Below are 22,857 nucleotides of genomic sequence, written 5' to 3'. Positions count from 1 at the left end.
CATTCAATAAATGTGCTTTGAAAGGCTACTACATGGCAATCACTGTTCATGACACTTGAGATAACACCATTGAACAAAGAAGACAAAATTCCTGCCCTATGGAATTTACAGTCTAGCAAGGAAAATCTAAGTAATGGGAATCTAAGAACTCAATGGCAGGAAAATGACTTGTCAAGAGTGGGAAAAATGACTCTTGAGTAGCTGAGACTCCTGGCAGAATCTTGATAATTGTATAGCATATTTTGAAGGAGATTTTTAAATCAGAACAGATTTGAGTCAGGTGACCTCTGAGGTTTCTTCTCACTGTGAGAGGCTCTGAATCTTTGACAATATAACTACCTATAAGAACTATCATGGACTTTGCTATAAGTGTTCTCTGAGAATTAGAGTGACTTAATTTCTTCCTTGGATGCCAAAAGAGGGGGTTTATCACTCTCAAACAGCCATTCTATGGCAGTAATTTGGTTCTTACACATGATGTACCACACAGACACTGCTTGGCCACCTTCCACCTGTCCTTCATATCTTAGCTAGAAGATCATTTCCCCTTTCCCTGACCCCTAATGCTAAATTAGATCCTCTTTACACTTTATCTTACCCTTTACTTTTCCTGCAAAGCGCTCACCTCTACTTGTAATTTCACCCCCTTTATGTGTGATTATTGATGTAGCAGCGATATCCCCACGAATCCTCAAGGCCCATTAGAGCAGGGAGTGTACCTGTTTTCTTCACCACTTTATGTGCAGAAGCCACCCCTGTCCCTGACACAGGACAAAGTGCAGTGAATCTATATTTGGTGGTACATGATGGGTGAATTGAGCAGGATATCTGGAGAACAGGAAATTTTCATCTTTAAGTTATCAAGAGCATTGGGTGATGGTTTCACTGTGTAAAGCCACAGAGAAAGGAAGGAGTTCCCCAGGGTTGGACTTTTTCACAGATTCCTCTCTATTCTTATATATCTAGAACTCTGGAATGTCAGAGATGCAGGAGACCTTAGAATTTACTTAATGCCTCGTTTGACAGAAAAGAAAAACCTGAACCTACAGAGAGGAACAGGCTATGAATATGCATGAATCCATGGATACACAGGGCGCATTTCAAGAGCACTTTCTCAGTAATATTTGGGAACACACACACATACACACACACACACACACACACACACACACACACACACACCCCAACCCTCTCAAACCATCCAACTTAAGTTTGAAATTCATCCTAAGCTGTTGATCCAAAAGTGGCTAAAGATGGGAGAATGGGGGGAGGGGGTGTTGCTGGGCTGGTGCGGAGCCAGGGGCCTCACGGGGGGGCTCGGCCCTCACACGCCCGGGGTCCCGGGGGTCCCAGGTGCTGAAGGAGGCCGCAGGGCCCGCCGCGCGGAGCTGAAATGCTGACAGGCCTCTGACTGCGCTGGGCACCACAGTAACTTTCCGAAACCTCCCACGGCGGGGTGGGGGAGGGGAAACCCAAAATCCCAAATATAATTTAATTTCCAGGGTAAACATTTTCCTGTGAAAATGGCCAAGGCGTTCCTCGAGGCGAGGCGGCCCTCTTCGGCAGGACCACACTGCCCCCTTGAGCATCCCGCGGAAACCCTCCGCAGAGTCGCTGAGGCCCGCGGACGCCGTCCTGGGAGCCCGCGGGGAACGGGGATGGAGAGACGCTAGGGCCTGGCTGCACCACGGAGACGGAAGAGGCTGAAGTGGTATCTCTTCTCAAGTGGGCACATAACCAAAACATTAATTATTAGGGACGTTCCGTTTATCTTGAAAGACCTATGAGCAAAGTGCATTACTGGAAGTGGTCAAAATAAACACCTATTGGCTGAGCTGAAGGCTAAAAGGGAACCCTGCTCTAAAGCATCTCCTCTAAGATCCTGCTCCAAGTTGTTCAGCATTTATTAAATGTTTAGTGCACGTCAGAAGCTGTGCTAAAACCGTGTTAGATGTCTTTTTTTTTTTTTTTTTTTTTTTTTTTTGATGGAGTTTTGGCCTTGTTGCCCAGGCTGGAGTGCAATGGCGCATTCTTGGTTCACTGCAACCTCCGCCTCCCGGGTTCAAGGGATTCTCCTGCCTCAGCCTCCCGAGTAGCTGGGATTACAGGTATGTGCCACCAAGCCCGGCTAATTTTTTGTATCTAGTAGAGACAGGGTTTCACCATGTTGGTCAGGCTGGTCTCCAATCCTGACCTGAGGTGATCACCCGCCTCGGGCTCCCAAAGTGCTGGGATTTTAGGCGTGAGCCACCGCGCCTGGTCTATATATTGTTATTTAACCTTTATAACAACCCTGTGAGGTGGAAGTTACCATTTTCTGGATTTTACAGAGGACAAGGACAGAGACTTTGAGAGTTTCAGCAAGTTTTCCATAATTATATCAGTAAATGGCTGAGCAGGGATTAGATTCTATGTCGGTGAGTCTATACTGGAATGTCAGGGAGAACCTAAATGATAATTCTGCCTGTCCGCGGTATGAATTTGGGCTGGCTACCTCCCCTTCTCCAGATCTTCTATTTCTCCTCTGTAAAATGAAGGTCCTGCATTTGACCTCAAGGGTTAAAACTCTAAGCTTCTATGAATCTATGGCACTGGCAGCTTAACAGGAATTAGTTCAATAGATTGGCGAATCAGAAGCACTGAAAAGAGCCTCAAGATGGGAAAGTTTGGACAAGCAGTAGTGTAGCAATGGAGGTCAGCTTTGCACAGGACACAGTGCTGGGGACCCAGAGCCTGGGCAAATGGAATGGATGCATAAAGAAAGGAGCCAGGTCCAGATGTGTGTCCTATAATTACACAGATTCCACCTGCTTTCTAATTTGCACACAAAATGGCCTTGCACAGATAGAGTTGTTAGCTGGTCCATCTTAGATCAAAGACAAACTATTCTGCCATGTTACAAGGTGATAATTCCATTTATAATACGATGTCTATGCTGGTTGGAGTTTATATGAAGACAGTGGGGATGTAGCGTTTAAAAACTGTGGAAGTAAATGGAATTGAAAAGCCATTTATCGCTTCCTCTCTCAAATCTGTCTCCTGTGGGTTAGGGAGAAAGTCAGTAGGCTCTCATGGTAAACTGCTGACCTTGGAAAATTGCTTCTTAAAATAATAGTTATAACTTTCTGAGCTCCATCTCTGTCACTGACATTAGTGTAATGATTGCCAGAAAGTTCCCAGATTCATTACCTTGTGGATATTGCAATATTTGAGACCTTCAGTGCTTCAATTTAATTTCATATACACACATATACATTGAGCCACTATATATACTAAGAACTATTACTCTATTCTGGAAGCTGGGGTAAGAGATCATTTCAATTTTACTCTCAAGAAATTCTTAGTCTTTGGCATAAGAAACAAAAAGAGCAACTGTTAACATTTCAAGCTGGTAAGAGTCATGCGAGAGGTTTGCCTGGGGTCTTATGGGACTCAGATCCCTATTCAGTCTGACTGAGAAAGAAAGGTTAGAAGAACTATGCGGAGGAAGAGATAAATCCAGTCCGGTGAGTGAGGGCAGGAAGAATGTTCTAGACAAAGGAACTATCACGAGCAAAGACACTGCCGCATGAAACACCACGGTTTATTCGTGGAACTGCATAAAGTTGTTCTGGCAGCAGGAAGGATGCCTGTGGGACAGTGGCACAGGATGAGTCTGGAGAGGTAGATGGGGAGGGGGGCAGATCAAAAAGACTTCCTAGTGCTTCATAAGCCATTTGAATCTTATCCTAAAAGAAGTGTGAGGCCTCTGAAGGATTTCATGCAGTGCAATCATCCTTAAACATAATCAGAAAACATTTTAAATGCCCTCATGGCTAAGACCTGAAAACAAACAAGATCAAGACTAGAAGAAATAAGATAATATAACATTATTATAATATAAAATATTATCAATATTATACCTTATTACACATCATTAATATGACAAGTAGTTAGAATTTTTTTAGACTGTTGACAATTTCTGGACTTTACCATTGTAAGATGAACTGGGTACATGTAATATAACCTGTATTTGATTTTTAATGTGTTTACAGGGCCATGATAGCATCTATGAATCAGTGTCTTGGGTTTAGAACACTCTCTTACAAAGAGTAAATAATTACTTTTTATTTGTGTCTTCTCAGCTTTGGCAGGACACCGTCACACCACATGTGCTTTCCAGGGCTTGTCTTATTTATGTGTCTTCTCTCTTTGCAGTTAGTTGGTCTACAATCAAAAACAATATTCCCATGGTTATAGACAGGAGGAGCCCTCTTCCATCCGCCGCTGCCTCTATGAAATTCCAGCATCATTTTTCTGGTTTTCATTTGGAAACAAAGCCACTGAAGAGTATTTTGAAGAGTCTGAAATCCATAAAACAGAGAGCAAATAAACTGAAAATAGAACCGGAAAACTTATTTGTTCTTTCCCTTGAGTTCTTGTGCAGACTAGGAATTATGATGCAACCTGACTGGCTGACCATAAATTGTCCAATTTCTTCACGCCTCCAAGCTGATGCCAACCTGTCATCAAGATCTGGTCTTGATCTCTCCAGTCTGGTTCTTCACTTTTTAAACTAAAGCCTGGCTCTTTGCAGTCTCTTTCTGATTAACTTAGGATCTGGCTTTTCTCAGTCAAATTTCTGCCCATTCAAGAACTGATATAACAATACACAATTTCCTGGGACTTCCAACATCTCAGTGAAAATAAGGCAATGGAAAAAACACGTAACTTAAACCAAACAGTTCCCATTTGCTCTGAAGTTCAAGAGCCAGTTCTGGATAATATACGCCTCTACTTATTCAAGTGTACCTTCACTGTAGACTTTCCTGACCCTCTTATTTAAAATTGCAACCTGCCCCCATGCCCCATTCCATTTGCCCCACACTAATTTTTGTGTATCTCTTATTGTAACTTGTTTATTATAGTTATTGTTTATTGCCTGTTGCTCCCCTCAACCCCAAAAATGTAAAGTTCACAAGGACAAAGACTTTTTCTTTTTTTATTCATTGAAGTATTTTAAGAGTATATGAGAGTACCTTGTGCATAATATATATTCAGTAAATGTTTTCTGAATATGGGAGGTGTACTTATATATTTTTTCTATATACACACATACTCAATCTATATCTCAATAAAGAGAATTAGCTAGATAGGTAAATAGAGGTTCAGAGGGAGGGAGGTAGGTAGACAGAGATGGTTTTGTGTTTATATGGGAGTATAGGAAAAGGTATAAGGAGAGAGAACATTAAAACAGTCAGCCAGAATGAGAATCACCATGTCATATCTCTAGAAACAATGATTTCTGTATGAGTAATTTGCATACCCAATCTAAAAATTCCTTGTGGAATCACAGAGGACTGATTGGAATTGAGATTCTTCCAGGAAATGCAGGATAGTCTCTGTGCTCATTATTTTGATCTCACCCAAGGTATGACCGCCCCCTCCTCACTTGGAATATTCACCCGAGATCCAGAATTATAGATCCTAGAGAAGCTTCAAAACCACAGACCGTGGCATTAAAGAGGTAAAGGAGAAAACTGGAGAGCTCTTCTCAGTGGCAATACCAAAGTAGTGACTCAAGAATGTTTTATCACATCTCCATTTCCAAGTCAAAGTCAGTAAAAATATAATCTGCATAAAAGCCATAGTAAGACTTCAATTCAAATATTCTGAGACACCTCCATGCTCACCCAACTCTACTGCGCCCTTCTCACCAGATGGCGACCCACAACCTCTCCTCTGTGGAAGTTCCACAACCACAGTACTACTTGTCTTCTTTCCCTGCATGATCTGCAGCCTATAGTGCAATCTCCAAGCTGTGAACCCGTCTAGTACCAATGCCTCAAGTGCTTCAATAATCAGAGTACTTTGAGAGCTTTAATTCTGAAAGGAGGCTACTAATGACGTGGATTTCCCTCTAAAAATCTCCATGTACTATGATTTCAAGTCTTTCTGTGTCTCTTTATCTTTTTCTGTTTCTGTCTCTGTCTCTTGCAAACACACATACACATACGTATCAATTACAGTAGTCCCCACCTTGTTCGTGGAAGATATGTTTCACGGACCCCCAGTAAATGCCTGAAACTGCAGATAGCGTTAAACCCTATACATACAGGTTGAGTATCCCTTATCCGAAACTCTTGGGACCAGAAGTGTTTAGGATTTCAGACTTTTTTGGATTTTGGAATATTTGCACTGCTTGAGCATCCCAAATCCAAAAATCCAGAATCTAAAATGCTCCAATGTATATCATGTTGACACTCAAACAGTTTCAAATTTTAGAGCATTTCAGATTTTGGATTTTCAGATTTGGAATTCTGAACCTTGTACTCTTGTTTCTTTTTCTATACCTATGTACCTATGATAAGGTTTAATTTATAAATTAGGCACAGTAAGAAGTCAACATTAATAACTAATGATAAAATAGAACAATTATAACAATATGCCATAATAAAGGTAATGTGAATATGTGCTTGCACTCTCACTCTTGCGCTGTCTCTCTAAATATCTTAATATTTTTGGATTGTAGTTGTCCATGGGCAACCAAAACCATGGAAAACAAAATCACGGATGTGCACTACTGTATAGGGTATTTTTCTATGGCCTCAGTGAGCACATCATTCATTTCTGGTGGTTATAGATGAATTTGGATTAATTATCTACATGGATGTAAAATACTGTTTATGCAACTGTGGATTGGAATTATACAAGCTTTATTTTTCTTTTTCAAGTAAAGTGTACAAAGATACAGTTTATTCCATCTTCCCTCTGGGGAATCTACATATTCATGTTGTATGTGATGAGTGTGTTGCTATGGAAATAATTATGGCTTTACATTAAGTAGCCAGAAAGCCAGCAACAAGAAAATTGGTTTTATTTACCATTCAGTCATGTATTTCCACCCCCACCCTGTCCCAGCAGACTCTATGCCCTGAAGTTTTCCAGAATTCCTTGCTACAAGAGCAATTCAGATATGACCACTGGATGACCACTTTGGGCAACGGTGACTGGTGCAAAATTTTAAAAAATCTGTTGTTGTTGTTTCTTTGAAAAAATAAAAAGACATCCATCACTTTAAACTAAATTAAGGACAGGAATATACATTCCAATGGATCTCACCTTGAAAACGTGCTTCAGTTGTTTTTTTTTTTTTTTTTTTTTTTTTTTTGAGACTGAGTCTCGCTCTGTCGCCCAGGCTGGAGTGCAGTGGCGGGATCTCGGCTCACTGCAAGCTCCGCCTCCCGGGTTCACGCCATTCTCCTGCCTCAGCCTCCCAAGTAGCTGGGACTACAGGCGCCCGCCACTACGCCCGGCTAATTTTTTGTATTTTTAGTAGAGACGGGGTTTCACCGTTTTAGCCGGGATGGTCTCGATCTCCTGACCTCGTGATCCGCCCGCCTCGGCCTCCCAAAGTGCTGGGATTACAGGCGTGAGCCACCGCGCCCGGCCAGTTGTTGTTTATCACCAAACCTTTGACTTCTTATGAGGACACTCGTCCTGCACCCCAGTTAGCTCCATGCTTTTCCACCCTGGGTGGTCATTAGAATCCCCTGGAGAAACTTTAAAAACCTATAGATATCTTGTCCCTGTATAAACCAGGCTCCATGGGGTTGGGACCAGACATCATAATTTTTCAGAAGTTCCCCAGGTGATTTTAACATTCAGTGCAGGGTTGAGAAACGTGGAACTAGTTGGTGGGCAGAAGCCTCCCCTACCATCAAGTCAGCTTTCCATTTGACTTTCCTGCTATTTTTATGAAAGTAGTTGGAATCCTGGCCCAATAAATAGCTCTTATTACTGAGTGCTCACTGCAGCCAGAGACTTTGCATACCTCATCTCTACAAAATCGTTATTGTTCCCCTTTTATACAAAAAGAAATTGAGGCTCAAAAGGGATTAAGAAGCAGCAGCAATGAAAAAAAATCTGTTAAGTCACTGCTGCTACTCTTTACTAGAGGATTAAAATGACATATGATAATAGAAAAAACAAAGTCAAGAGAGATACAGATTCTATCTGCGCTCTCCTATGGATGTTCTATGTGAATGTGTATGTTTTGTTTTGTTTGGTTTTTGTTTGGTTTGGTTTGGTTTTGTTAACCATGAGCCTCAGCTTCCTTCTAGCAAGATGACAGAATTAGATCAAATGCCTTCCAGTTTCCCCCGAGCCTTAGCATTCTGTATGCTATGGTTGAAACTGCACAGCCCATAGAAACAGATAGACTAGCTTTTTAATACTGGATAGGTTAAATAGCTCATTTATGAGCTCTGTAATCTCCGATAAGTACACTTCTTTGAGCTCCAGTTTTCTTTATCTTTAAAATTAAAAAATAAATCCGAGTTGTCTTCCAGATTGTGGTGAGGTCTGGGATAATGCACATAAATTGCTTGGTTCACATTAGATATTCAATAAAAAGCATCATTTGATATGTGTTTATTCCGTCACTCTTCATTCAATAAATATCATGGAAGGTCTTTGAGATTCTGGGCTATAATGATGAGCAAAAACCAGTGCTAAGTTTTCCCTCACAGAGCTTACAATCTAGTGAGGGAAGAGAAATTAACTGAGACAAATGCAAAATTGCAACTGCAACAAGCACGAACATGGAGCTAAGAGATGTTATAGTAGGAGAATTTGACCTGGTCAGGGAAGTTAGAAGAGGCTTCCTGAGGAAGTGAACCTTTAACTGAGATGAGATGTAGGAATATATGCTAACAAAATCATGACAATAGGGCAGAGGGGACAGTAGGGACAACCTCTATTGCAGATTTCACTGTGGCTGGAGCAGAGATGAATGCGGCTGAGAGTGGTTATTGACCAGGCACTGAATAGGGCTTGCAGGCTGTATTAAGGAATTCTGTCTGAAGCTTACGAGCAAAGAAAGTTGTTACAAGATGTTAAACAGGATTGAAATATGATTAAGTTTGCATTTTTTTGTTCTCTTTTGTTTGAGACAGGGTCTTGTTCTGTCACCCAATCTGGAGTGCAATGGTGCAATCATAGCTCACTGCAGCCTCAATCTCCTGGGCTCAAGAGATTCTCCTGTCTCAGCCTCCAAGTAGCTGGGACTAAAGGTGCACACTATCATGCCCTGCTATTTTTTATTTTTTTATTTTTGTAGAGATTAGGTCTTTCTATATTTCCCAGGCTGGTCTCAAACTCCTGGCCTCAAGCGATTCTCCCAGCTATGGCCTCCTGAAGTGCTGGGATTAAAGGTGTGAGCCACAGCACTCAGCTTGCATTTTGAAAAGAACACTCTGGTGCAAAGATCAGACTGGCAGGGAGTCGGCAGAGTGAGGACAATGAAGTGAATGAGGAAGAAGTCGACCCCTGGGCAAGAGAGATGATGGTGGCTCTGTCAGAAGATGGTTACAGACATGGAGAGATATGATGGATTTGAGGATGTAAGGGGGATTAAATAGACAATTTTGGCAAAGGATTTGGAGTGAGAGCTGGTGAGGGAGACAAAGAGAAAGGAAGACATATGAGGATTCTGGATTACGAAACCTAATGAAAATTGGCACTATTTGCCAAGACATGTGACCCAGGTTGGGAGTTTTATGGGGCGAAAGGGCATTGAAAAAGATGATGAGATAGGTTTTAGACATGTCGAGTTTTAAGGGCATCCAAATCGTCTAAGAGGCACATTTATCAAAGGCAAGTACCATTATAGGTACCCAAGAAAGGAAGTTTCCCAGTGATGATTCAACACCGTACGAATACAATCTAAGAGTCTAGTGCACACGTTCTTGTCTCTCCCCAATCCATTATGCACATGGAAGCTAGAATGGCCTTTACCAATGCAAACCCATTTAGGTTGCCATTGTCTGAAATCTTGTTATTACCACCCACTGCTTGCAGCATTATGTCTAAAGTTCTTCATGCGGCTCACAAGACTCTCCCTCATCATTGGCTGCACCTCCATCCTTGAGTGAGCTCATCTCACTTTCCTTCTACTCATTGCTGCCTCCATGTTGTCATCCTTTCATTTCTCAGATATGCCAAACTGCTTCCTGTAACTACCATATCTATGATCAAACTCCACCATACCACCATACAACCTTCACATCACCAGACTAGTCCTGCTACTCCTCCAAGATTCTATTTAAACACTACAGTCTCAGGGACACCTTCTCTATTCCCTGCTCCACCATCGACTAGGTTAGATCCCCTTGATGTACATTCCCCCAGCACTCTCCTTTTCACTGCCTATCACAACAGGAAATATAGAATTATTTGTATAATTTTGGCTTATTATTAGTCACTCTTACTAGAACAAGGTCTATGTATTTATTTCTTATTGATGTAGTCTTAGCATGGAGGTGACCAAGGAAAATTTCATGGCAGAAGACAATAAAGCTATAACTTTGTCTTCAATGTGTTCCAGGAAGAAACAATGGCAGGACAAAGGTATGGAGTTGAAGCTAACATATATTCAAAAACATACTTGATAGTTTAGCCCTAGGCCCGGGAAGAACTTTAAGGAGAAGAATGCTGTTTCTGTGAAGAGTAGCAGTCTGTTTTGCTGAAGATAACCCAGGAAGTCTCCCAGTTCTGCAAAGAATATGCGTTAGGTGGCCATTGAAGGAAAGTGCTTCAAAGAGATAGATAAGGCAAGGATAGAGAAGACCCTTCACCTCACAGGCAGACAAAAGTCCACTGACTCAACCTTGTCTTTGGGGCACTTGGTATATTCAATGAAAAAATAATTAAAGACATAATGGTGGACTAAACCACTCTTTTTTAGTTTACAGTGTACACAAGTAGTATCAGTTGTCAAAGATTTTAGAAAACTTTTTTGGGCTAAAAGCATGTAGTTTATCAAATTCTATCCACTAGGTTATGTCATTTTTTATGAATTGGAAAATATTAATTATGTCATTTGATTGAATTTTTATGAGTAAACATGTTGGTTGAACTCATAAGGCACTCATTCTCCTACTTCTCCTTCAGGGTGGGAAAAAAACTAAGTGAACCTACAAGGTTGGGTCATGTTATACCACAATAGGTATTTGCTAGCCTATTGCAACACAGAAGAATAAAGAATCTAAGTTGAGGTTGAAGATGCACTAGACACTTTTTATTTTTGCCTTCCCAATATCAATCTCCCATTCAGCAAGTGTTTTGTGGGCACATTTGATTCAGATTTAGCTGACTTCCTTCCAAATCTCCAGGGCAGGACACATGACCCAGTTGGAATCAATTAAAATAGTATGTTCCCTCAGTTTTCATTACTGGTAAATAGGCAGACTGTGGTCTCCCAACTCCTATTGGGACTATCAAGAGAAAGACGTCCTACTAGTCAATCTGCTGGTCAGACCTCAGCCTGGCACTTCAGGTAGCCACCTTGTACCAGACAGGAGAGCCTGATGGGGGTTTGGGACAGTGATAAGGAAGGCAAACCCATGGGATAAAGGAAACATTGTCTTAGCGACAATGTCTGAGTTTTTATCACCAACTCTTCTTGAAGTGAGACTATCTCTGCATTTTATACTTCTAAGCTAATAAATCCTCCATATTTAAGTTTCTATCCCTTGCAATGGGAATAATTTGAAACTGGCTATATCAAATAGTAAAGGATATCAAAATCCAAAGAATGATGAGGCCAGAAGAGGTAATAAGTCAATAAGCCAGAAGCAAAGTAGAAATCAGAAAATGAGGAAGGAAGATTTTTAAGCCAAAGGTGAATGGTTGTCGTGAACCAAGCTAGGAAAAGTGGGACTGCAGGAGTTTAGGCTTTTGTGGTGCTTGAAGCATGGGACAGGTAGCAGTTCAACATGCATGAAAGGGCTAAAGAATACTGTGTTTGCTGCCATAATGAAGTCCCATGAACTGGTGGCTTGGGATGGCAGGCATTTATTGTCTCACACTTCTGGAGGCTGGAAATCTGAAATCGAGGTGCTGGTGGGTCATGCTCCCTCTGAAGTCTCTAAGGGAGGATCCCTCCTTGCCTCTTCAAGCTTCTGGCAGCCCCAGACTACTTAGCTTGTGGCAGCATCACTCCAAGCTCTACCTTCAACTTCCCATAATTGTCTTCCCTCTGTGTCTCCGCATCTGTGTCCAAATTTCCCTCTTCTTATAAGGCCATAATCGTATTGGATTTAGGGCCCACCCTATTCTAGAATGACCTTATCTTAACTCATTACATCTGCAATAACCCTATTCTCAGATAAGGTCACATTCTGAGGTACCTGGGGCTGGACTTCAACATATCTTTTTGAGGAACACAACTCAACCTATTACAAATACTGACTTGCCTAAACCCTTAGAATTACCACCTGGGAAATTTATTCTTTTGCATCCCTCTGCCCCCCTCCTCTTTTTCACATCCCCTCCACCATTCAATAGAACTCTTTCTAATTACTTTCTTATCCAAGATCCAAGCTGTCTGTCTATCAGGTTAACTTTCCAGTCCTCCCCTATTTTCAGAAAACTCTACCCATACACCATCCACACCATTATGTGCATGGGGCTCCCAAAGGGCATGTTCCTATACACACACACAAGCGATGGACCGCAGGTGAAAAGCTGATCCTTCCTAAGCTAAAATCCCCTTCTAGGAACTTGGAATTGAGACTGGGAAAGACATGTGGGCTCTTTCCTGGTGGCTAGATCTTTTCCACTTAGGAGTTGCAGGCTGTAGCCATTTTTTCTCACATGGACTGAGAGGCAGAGAAAGCCAGTTTTGACACAGGGAGGGGAACAACACACACTGAGGCCTGTTGGGGGTGGAGCAGGGAGAGGGAGAGCATCAGGAAAAGTAGGTAATGCATGCTGGGCTTAATACCTAGGTGATGAGTTGATAGGTGCAGCAAATCACTGTGGCACATGTCTACCTATGTAACAAGCCTTCACATCCTGCACATGTACCTCAGAACTTAAAATTTAAAAAAATAATAATTTTTAAAAGAGAGAGAACAAAACTGACTCCAAAAGCAGAGTAGATACAAGAGGAAAGTAGGGGTGCTGTGGGCATTCTAGGCTCTAGTTTCAGTCAGCTCCTGAGACTCAGGGGCTTCCTCCTTATGCTTGTGTTTCGTGAGATACACCTCTTTCATTATTCTAATTCACCTACATTTTTGTAAGTCAGTCTTCAGACATAAATAAGTTATAAATATGTTATAAATATACTCTATCAAAATCTGCTATTAAGGAAGTTTCTGATATGATTGTACACACTGATATGTGAAGGATTTGAAGGCTCAACATGTTTTATAGTCCAGGATAATCTAGAGCTAGAAGTCTTAATCCAAGGATATGAAACTAAGGAACGGCAAAAAAAGGCAGGAGGCAAGGTCTTTCAGCGGGGGATGAGAATATTCCAATTGCTTCTAAATAACATTGTGCAAAGAGAATTCAAAATTAATAAGTGGTTCTCAAACTTGAGCATGCGTGAGAGTCACCTAGAAGGCTTGCAAAATACAGAGATCTAGGAACACCTCTGAATGTATGAATTGGTAGATCTGCACACAAGGGTTTGCCTTTCTAACAATTCCCAGGGTGATTTGATGCTGTTGGTCTAGGGAACATACTTTGAAAACCACTAATTTTGAAGTCTGGCATTGGGTGAGGAAACTGTGCCAGGCAGTGCATGCAAACACTTACAAACTTTTCTTTGTGTGGGAGGATACTTCCCTTATTTGGACCAGCACTGTGGATAAATTGTTCATTTTTGAAAAGCCTTTAGAGAAATTCAGAGGAAGTATGTAGAAGGCATAATTTAAGTTTCTTTGCAGATTGTTCCTTCAAAAGTATAAATTTTGGAGGTTACTTGTTGTATTCAGAAAAGATGCTGGATTCCAAGCCTGAGAACTTTGCTTCTGTATCTATACTTGCTGTGGAACGTCTATTGGGTCTCAAGTTTCTTATCTCTCAAATAAAATAATTGAATTATTTTATCTCTTAGATCACTCTTGGCTCTAATATCCTCACATCTATGATGTTGCTCAAATATTGCTCCTGCAACTCCCCTGAGTGATATTTCCTAAGCGAACACATTCAAAGACCATCTCTAACCACCTCAGTCCACACCCCTCTGAAGGACAGAGTGGCGGTGAGTGTGAAGCATTCAGTACTTTGCAGTGTTCCCAGGGAACATATGACAAAAGTTGAACCAAGAGGAAACTGCCCCAGAGGAGAAGGATGGTCTCTTTAAACTCTTAAACCATTTACACTGAATTGTGCTGAAGTTTTTGCAACCATTTAGAGCCCCAAAAGCCCTCAACTTAGCTTGGGGTGCTGATCAAAAAAATGGGATGTTGTAAATCATACTCCAATGTCCAGGGCCTAGCAGAACACAGGCAATATTTGATATTCAGCAAAATTGTTTTAGCCCATCGAACATATTGATCAAGGGAATATTCCTTTGTGCCCAGAAGGCTCAGACAAGACACAATTTGATAGACACATGTGTCAGCCATAGCATTAGGGATTACATGCAGCAGCTCTCAAAGGCCTAGGGGCATAATACATTGCATGAATTTGGAAAACACACTCAGGTTGAAGCCATCGATGCTCTTTCAACCAAATATTCAGGCATTCTTGCCTTTGTAAGAACTGCAAGCAAAGAAAGAACACCACCAATGAGTTTGCAGGTGAGAGACTTTAAAAACTGGGAGTAGAGGTGAAAGGAGAGAAGAACAATTTGCTATCTGTGTTCTTCATTCCAAGCCTTCCTGGAGCAGAAATTTCTCTTCTTCTTTTCCCCCTTCAAACGTCCTGAGGCAGTAGCCATTTTAGAAGAAGGATGTATCTGGACATTAAAATAGTAAAAATAATAATAGCATGATACTTTGTGCAATCAGCATTCTAGGTACTAAGGAATACAGATAATTGAGACACAGAGCTTGCCCTCAAGGATCTCATATCCTCACCTGAGAGTGAGCTTTCAAAATATACTTCCAACGGCGTAGTGACAGAACTATTGTGGTGTGCAGAAAGGAGAGACAGAAACTCAAGCTTGCTTGGGTGTTTCTGTTTTTGTTTTTTGTTGTTGTTGTTGTTTGTTTGTTTGTTTGAGATGGAGTCTCGTTCTGTCGCCCAGGCTGGAGTGCAGTGGTGCAATCTCGGCTCGCTGCAAGCTCTGCCTCCCGGGTTCATGCCATTCTCTTGCCTCAGCCTCCAAGTAGCTGGGACTACAGGTGCCCACCACCACGCCCAGCTAATTTTTTGTTAGTGGAGACGGGGTTTCACTGTTTTAGCCAGGATGATCTCGATATCCTGACCTCGAGATCTGCCTGCCTTGGCCTCCCAAAGTGCTGGGATTACAGGTGTGAGCCACCACGTCCAGCCGGGTGTTTCTGTTTTGATGGCAAAATGTCTGTTTGGCCGGGCGTGGTGACTGGTAGCCTAATCGTATCTGGGACTCTAGTGCAAAGGAATTTGGGAAATACAGGGTTTAGGTAGTAAACTTGACGTTGGAACAGATATTGAGTGAGACAATCTATTATATACACCACAGGCATGCCTGGTACACAACATTTTCTGAAGTTATTTAAGGACACAAAACCCTTTTTTTAAAGAAGCCTCTTGAAAAGCAAGTGTTTCAGGTAACACCCTTTCGCAAATACTAACCCAGGTCTGTCTCCTCATTGGCAAGGAAGGAAGCTGATGCCCAAAGCGGTTGGCTATTTGGCTGATGCTACCCAGTGAATTAGCCGCAGAACAGGGAGGGCATGGAGCCAGGTGTGACCCTCCTCAGTTGTCCAGCCTTGCTTCTTGCACCACAAAGTGGTGCCTTTGCTTCACTTTTAAGGAAGTTTGAACTGAACTCCTGAATTATGCAACAACAGAGCAAGCTAATAAGCTCTCCTGAACCTCCAATTAAGTACAAGGATAATTATACCCTGGAGTTAGGAGAGCAGCTGAGACTGGGAGTATTACAAGAACTGTCAGCTACCGAGTCGCTTTTTAAACCTGGCATTTCACCCTTGCTGCTTTTGGAGGGAAAGTGGGAGGAGAAGAAGAAAAGCTCTCCGGTCTCAGCCCACTTTGGACAGCCCGTAATCGATTGAATGGGCTCTTCTCCTATTTGGGCAAAAGGGAAGAAGGCTGCTGCCCCTGCCCTGCAAACCTGGCAGGAAGAGAAGGCGCCGACAGCTGGCAAGAGGGTTTTCTGTTAGGAACAAATCTGCCTTTGTATCAGTTTTGACCTCATGTTTTCAGCCACCCCTCTGAAATCTAATTTTTCTCCTGCAGGACTATTATACTGCTGCCTCACAGCAGCCGGCCTGACACCACTTCATGTGCTCCCAGGCATGTCTAAGCCTTCTCCCAGAAATCTGATTTCATCATGGCAACCTCCATCTCCCCTAACCCCTCAACTAAAAAGATTCATTTTTCTGTGTATTTCTCTGCTCAGCACTTACAAATGTGTTTGTTTTGCACTGTTTTAATTATTCTGATTTATTAATGTCACGTGTTTTTCTACAGTGTAATTGCAGTCCTAAGATACCTCAGATTATTAAAAAATAAAAGCAGTTGTTCCAGTGGTGGAAAGGAAACCATCTTTCAGATTCACAAAAACGATGTTATTTTTCCTGTCAGAATGTGGAATTTTACCAACCAATTTTCATTTTTAAGGTGACAGGTACACTTTTTGTGTAGCAAGCAGAAAATGATAAAGTAGTTGATCAAAACTGGCAAAACCTAAAGCTAAAAGAAAAAAAAATCGCTGACTAGCCAGAAAATCACACCCAAATCAACATGTTCCTAGTCCATCAACAAAAATTGCAGTGCAGTTAAAAATTGTCAGAGGTAAACAGAAAAACAAAACAGATAACAATGTGGCAGTCAGTCATTCAGCCACAGCAGCAGAACTTTCTACTCTACGGTTTTCAAACCACCTCCCCCTACCCCGCAGCACAGTCAAATCTCCTGGGAGCTTGGAAAAATCTCCCTGATGCCCAGGTTTTTTAGCCCAGACTGATTAAGTGGCGATCTCTGGGGATGGAACCCAGACATTAGTATTTTTAAAGCTTTCCAGGGGGTTCATATTGTACAAGGTTGATTGCTCATTACAAATTCTCATCAACAGAATTCAAGTAATATAAATTCTTACATTTAATTCAACATGCTGCCGCTATTTGGTGTCATAAAAACACAGACGATAGGAGACATGCCTGAAATGCTTTGCAAATATAAAACAATTTGCAAAATAAAAAAGCAATTTCACATCTCATTTCATCTTTCCATTTGCCCCATGACTCATGGCCCTTTTTTAAAAATGAGAAAGCTGAAGCTCAGAAAAGCTGAATGCATTGTCTGATACCTATAACCAAACATGGAAACACAAGCCACCATCTGTGGATTCTGGTCTCAGTGACAACAGCACCTCAAACATAGAAAGTTCTTTTACAAGCTTGTAGAGGGTGTGTGTGTGTGTGTGTGTGTGTGTGTGTGTTTAAATTATTATCCAAACTGTATAGATGAAGTAGTTGAGGCTCAGAGGTGGTAAAAGATTGGTCAAGATCACACAGTTTAGGCTGGGAATAGTGGCTCAAGCTTATAATCCCAGCACTTCAGAAGGCCAAGGCAGGTGGATCACCTGAGGTGAGGAGTTTGAGATCAGCCTGAAGTCAGGAGTTTGAAACCCCATCTCTACTAAAAATACAAAAATTAGCTGGGTGTGGTGGCATTCACCTGTAGTCCCAGCTACTCAAGAAGCTGAGACAGAATTGCTTGAACTGGGGAGGCAGAGGTTGCAGTGAGCCGAGATCGCACCATTGCACTCCAGCCTGGGTGACAGAGCAAGGCTCCACCTCAACAAAAACAAACAAACAAACAAAAATCACACAGTTTAGACTTTAACACCTATAACTCTTCTACCAAACTGATTCACTAGGTGAAGTGTAAGTATGTCTTTATTTTTTTTTTTTTTCACATATTGGCCTTTGAAGCTCCTTTCTGCACCTCTTGATCATATCTTGGGCAAATCTCAACCTGTATATCCACTCAGGTTTCACAAAGTCTGGCTTAACTATCAATCTCATCTTGAACTCAGCCCCACTGTCTCCTCTTCTCTCTCTGGTGCTAGCTTTCCCCATGGCTGTGGTCCTCAGTGATGATTATTACAGGTGTCTGCTCCTTTGTTCCTGGGACACTTTCTCCTTCTGCATCTCTTCCGTTTTTAACATGTAGGGGGGACTGGGAAGAAGCCCTTGAGGGAAAGGAGCAAGAAGCTCTTTTTCCTGACTGGGGCCATATCCGGCACTCCCTTGGCTGTTATGCCCATTGGGAAGCAGAAGTCCAAATATCGGTTTCCTTAAAGTGATTCGTGCCCACTTTTCAGTAGGCCCGCCACTGCTGCACGCTCTCATCTTGCCCCCTCCCCCATCTTCTGCTATTGTCTACAGCTCTTACTACTGGGCTCCATCACCCAGAAGCCAGCCCTTTTGGGCACTGTTTTGGGTTAAATTGCTTCCCACCCTCCCCCGCACAAAGACACATTGAAGTCCTAATCTCCATACCTGTGAATGTGACTTTACCTGGAAACAGAGTTTTTCTAGATGTCATCAAGTTAAGATGAGGTCATTAGAGTGGGTCCTAATCCAATGACTGGTGTCATAAAAAGAGGAGATTTGGAAATAGACATACAAAGAGAAGAGAATGCCATGTGAAAGCACAGAACAGAGGGGGAAGACAGCCATATTAAGATGAAGGCAGAGGTTGGAGTGATGCTGCCACAAGCCGGGAACGTCTGTGCAGGCAGAAACTGGAAGAGGCAGGCAAGGGTCCTCTGCTGAAGGATTCAGTGGGAATACAGCCCTGCTGACACCTCGGTTTCAGATGCCCAGCCCCCAAAACTGTGAGAGAACACATTGTTGTTGTTTTAAGCCACCCAATTTGTAGTACTTTGTTACAGCAGCCCTAGGAGGCTAATACAGACACTGTTCTGCCAAAATGTTCCAATCCAATTACCTATTCCTTTCTCACGTAGGAAACTTACAGCTCCTTGCTTCTCCAATTAGTTATAGAAGGGTTTAGCATACCAATTTTCTGTTCCTTTGCTTCCCACCCCAGAGTGCCCCTAGAAAGTTTCCTGCCTTCAAAATTTTCCAAGTGAGAAGCAGTACCAGGCACTATATTAATATACACCCTTGAACGCAAATAGCATAAAATTCAGCTCTATCAAAAACTACTCCATCATGCTTGCTTTGCTGGGAGTAACAGTGGTTTTACAGGACCTGCATCCTAATAAGCTTCTCGTCAGGGAGGGATAAGCTAAGCCCCAATTCCTGCAGGTCCTCTCTCTGACTCCCACCGATTTCTACAAGTGGTTTTCTCAGCGCTTCCCTTAATTAGCCTGGACTTTCACTGAAAAAAGAAAACACCTGTAATCTTTTCCCAGAGAGGCAGAATGGAGTAAGTTCTTACCAGGAACATGGGATGCTCTAACCCCTCTAACCCCTGATCCCAGTGATGTCTCCTCTAACGGGGAATGTTCCAATTTTGGAGACTGTGGTAGGTTGATAACAACAAAACAAGTTCTGCTAGCCTCTTAGTAAGTCCTGCTGGGTTATGAGCAGTAGGTCTTTTTAAAATATAGGTGTTTCAGCTAACGCTGTGTAACAAGCTTCCCCAAAATCCAGTAGCGTAAATAATAAGTATTAAAACACACCATGCCATCAGCTGAGCATTCTTGTTTCTGTGGGCCAGGCTTAACTGAATTTAGCTGAGCTTACTTATGCTTCAGTGGTCAGCTGTGGTCAGTGGCAGGAGGCTGGCTGAACATTGAACTAGGATGGCATTAGCTGGTGGTTGGCTGGGGTGTCTTGACCTCATGTCCCTCCTTATCCAGCAGGTCAAGGCTTGTTGTCACTGGGGCTGAGCAGGATTCTAAATGAGTGGCAGAAGCATGCAAAGCCTCTGGAGACCTAGACTCCTAAGTGGCACACGGCTACTACTTGCATGAAAGAAGTCACAGGTTAGCTCAGACTCAAAGTGCAGGGAAATAGACTTTGCCTCCCTAGTGAGACAAAGTGCAAAGTCAAATTGCAACGAGCTTGGATACAAGGAGCAATAAAGAATTCTGGCCATTTTTTTTTTTTTTTTGGCTGTTTACCACAGTAGGTATCTTTTGTATCTGTTGTTGTATATTAACAGGTTAAATTACATGAAATGCTATAATAAACAACAAACAAAAAATCTTAGTGGCATTTTTCTTATTCACAACCCAGTCCAATGAGGGGCTGGTGTGTGTTGGAGAGAGAAGAGTGTTTGCACCAAGTAATTTTTCAAGGCTCCAAATTGGATTCAGAATTACCCTATGAATACTCCACATGTAGCCCTCAGGGGAAAGAAGAAAGAGCATGTGAAGGATCACGTAGGATGTCTCAGAGCCCAAACCTAGACAGGCTTACATCGTTTCCATTGGCCGGAACTTGGCCAAGATTTCATGAGCCATCTAACTGCAAAGGCATCTGGGAAGGTTCTTTGATGCCAATGAAGAAAACTAAATACGCTTTGCCTCATGTCTTTAGCGTTATGGCTGTAGCCCAAATCCCAAGGCAACAGAAATCCCGAACTATATCCTTTTCACCAACTTCAGTGTTCTTTCCTCCATATACCTAAGGGGACTGCTGGTGCCAGGCTTAGATCAGATCACCTTCTTTTTTTTTTTTTTCTTATCTTTTTAATCCTTCGGAGATGGATACTCTCATGAAGCATGGCGTTTCTTCAGATGAGGGAAGGGGATGAAATTAGCACCCTAGAGTTACCATCTGTTTCTGGCAACCCTGCTCTAGATATGGATTTGCTTGTGCGTCCAAAACCTGCTAAGCCTTTACACTCAAGTACTTCTGTACCTTCCCAGCTTTTCTGTACCTGCTCCAGAGGAGGCCACATGAGGATGTTCTTGAACTCTGCCCTTTGATGAGCAGAGAACATTTCCCACTGTTCCACATTCAGTGTTCCTCTCCAACATCCTACCACTGTGCTTACCAAGCCACAAAAAAACTCCTCAGATGATGAGACCAGGTACACTGGGTTCAAATTCCAGCTTTGCTACTTACACTTAACTGTGTGATCTCTGGCCAATTACCTAATTTTTCTGATTCTTGATTTTCTCATCTTTCACACTGGAATGATGCCGATTTCTGGGATGATAGTGAGGGCAACTATGATTGTAAAGCATCTACACAAGGTAAGCACAGTATCATCTTCTTTGCTTCTTCCTCTTCCCCACCTCCAGTGACCACATGAGTGCAGTGAAAATGAGGAGAAATGGGATTGGAATTAGCGCAGTCAGAATGAGGAGGAATGGGATTGGAGCTCTATTAAGTGATGTGTAGAGACAGGGTTTGGAGGCAGATGCAATGGAGAGGTGGCATATAACTTGCCTGTGAATGTTTAAATATGCGTTAAGGATCCTGGAGTCATGGAGTTAAGAGAAACCTGTTTTCATTGTTGCAAGGAAGATTTTTTTAAAGAAATATTATGGGCAGAGAGGCTTAGGATTTAATACGAATACATGCATTTTTCTCACAGTTGTGGGACCTTTTCACCATAGTACCATCCTCTGGTAATTTGGAAGTTTACTCAGATGTCACCTTTTTCCCAAACCTGCAAGTCTGTGATAGGCCCTAAGGCGATGCCTATGTAGCAAAAAGATGACTCTACCTTCCCCTGGCAGCCAGGTGTTAAATCATCACTAGATGGCAGTAACATCTAACGCTTAATTTGGTGAATGATCAAAACATTTTACCTTTGTTTTTCTTTTGCTTCTCTATTTCAAGCAAGCATTCACTCAACACAAAACTGAGACAGCCTTGAGTTTTTCTCAATCCTTATTTTGAAGTTGACTTAGAGACTCACAAAATTTTAAAGGGAAAAGAATGGTCCATGTCTCAAGCTACAAACAACTAACTTCTCACTGGGCTCTCAGAGCTCGGATTAAAAGACTTCAGCCATGCCCTCGACATAGAAGAAAAGATCAAGTATCTAATACTCTCCATATTGGACAAAGGGTCATTAATTTGGACAAATTACTTTTTTTCTTAAACAAGAAAAGACATTAAAAAAATTTGTGCACCTGGTGGGGATGAGCCCACTCTTCTTAACGTAAGAGCCATTTAGTTCCCCAAACAAGTTTATTTGAACTTCACTTTTATTTTTTCTCCCAGATCCCTCTCTCTTACTCCCAAATTCATTTGTATACTCAATGCTGTTTTTTCTCAAGGCACCATTAGAATAAAGATGAAAGAAAAAGATTGAAACATTAAAAAGGACTGGCAGTGTTATAAAGTCTATACCGTGCTTTGGGTGTACCAAGGAATCTGTGGCTATGGATCCTAAGATGTTCCAAGAGGGAGTTTAGTGAGGCTTTGAATTAGTCCCAGAGAACTTCCAGGCCATTCCTGGGCCCAAAGCCTTGGTCTTCTCCAAGGCTAAATTTGTTCTGCAAGGAGACTAAATATGAAACCCAGGTCCACTTATCTCTGTGTTCAGGGACCGAGTGACCTACTAAAGGTCCAGCAGGCCTAATAAATGTTGATAACAAAAGCTTCTCTCCCACCATGAAGTAGTTCCAATTACAATTTATCATTGTTTGAGACTTTGATGTTAGATACTTTGCATTGTTGCCTATAGTATTATCAGGCAAGCTGTAAAATGGAGCAGGAATTAATTTGAGACATGCACTAATTAATTTGAGACATGCACTGAGATGGAACAAGGAATAACTCTAAAGGTACAGGAGGTCAGGTCATGCCTACTGTCTTTGGGGCTGTACCTGTTTCCATCTTCATTTTAGAAATGGCTATACCAAAAATTTGCATCTAGTTAGTGGCACCTACACTTAGATTGGTGGAAATTAACCAGTTTAACAGGCAGGTGGGTACACTCTCGGAGGTCTTTGTAAGCAAGAAGACCCAGGTCAGT

At 42.0% G+C, this 22,857-nt stretch overlaps 1 protein-coding gene across 5 annotated transcripts in view; it reads right to left on the bottom strand.

The window, feature by feature from the left end:
* PCTP (phosphatidylcholine transfer protein) overlaps positions 1-22,857 on the bottom strand; it is a 101,665-nt gene that overhangs the window by 5,646 nt on the left and 73,162 nt on the right. For 3 of the 5 annotated variants that reach the window (XM_047436502.1, XM_047436499.1, XM_047436503.1), the window contains exon 7: positions 3,563-4,343. The gene's annotated coding sequence lies outside the window, so the exon portion shown is untranslated. Of the gene's footprint in view, positions 1-3,562; positions 4,344-22,857 lie in introns of those variants that run through there. The other 2 variants (XM_047436500.1, XM_047436501.1) reach the window with 2 other exon arrangements.

Source organism: Homo sapiens, chromosome 17 (assembly GCF_000001405.40).
Source record: "Homo sapiens chromosome 17, GRCh38.p14 Primary Assembly".
Taxonomy (NCBI): domain Eukaryota; kingdom Metazoa; phylum Chordata; class Mammalia; order Primates; family Hominidae; genus Homo; species Homo sapiens.
This window is presented reverse-complemented; position numbering and strand designations above follow the sequence as displayed.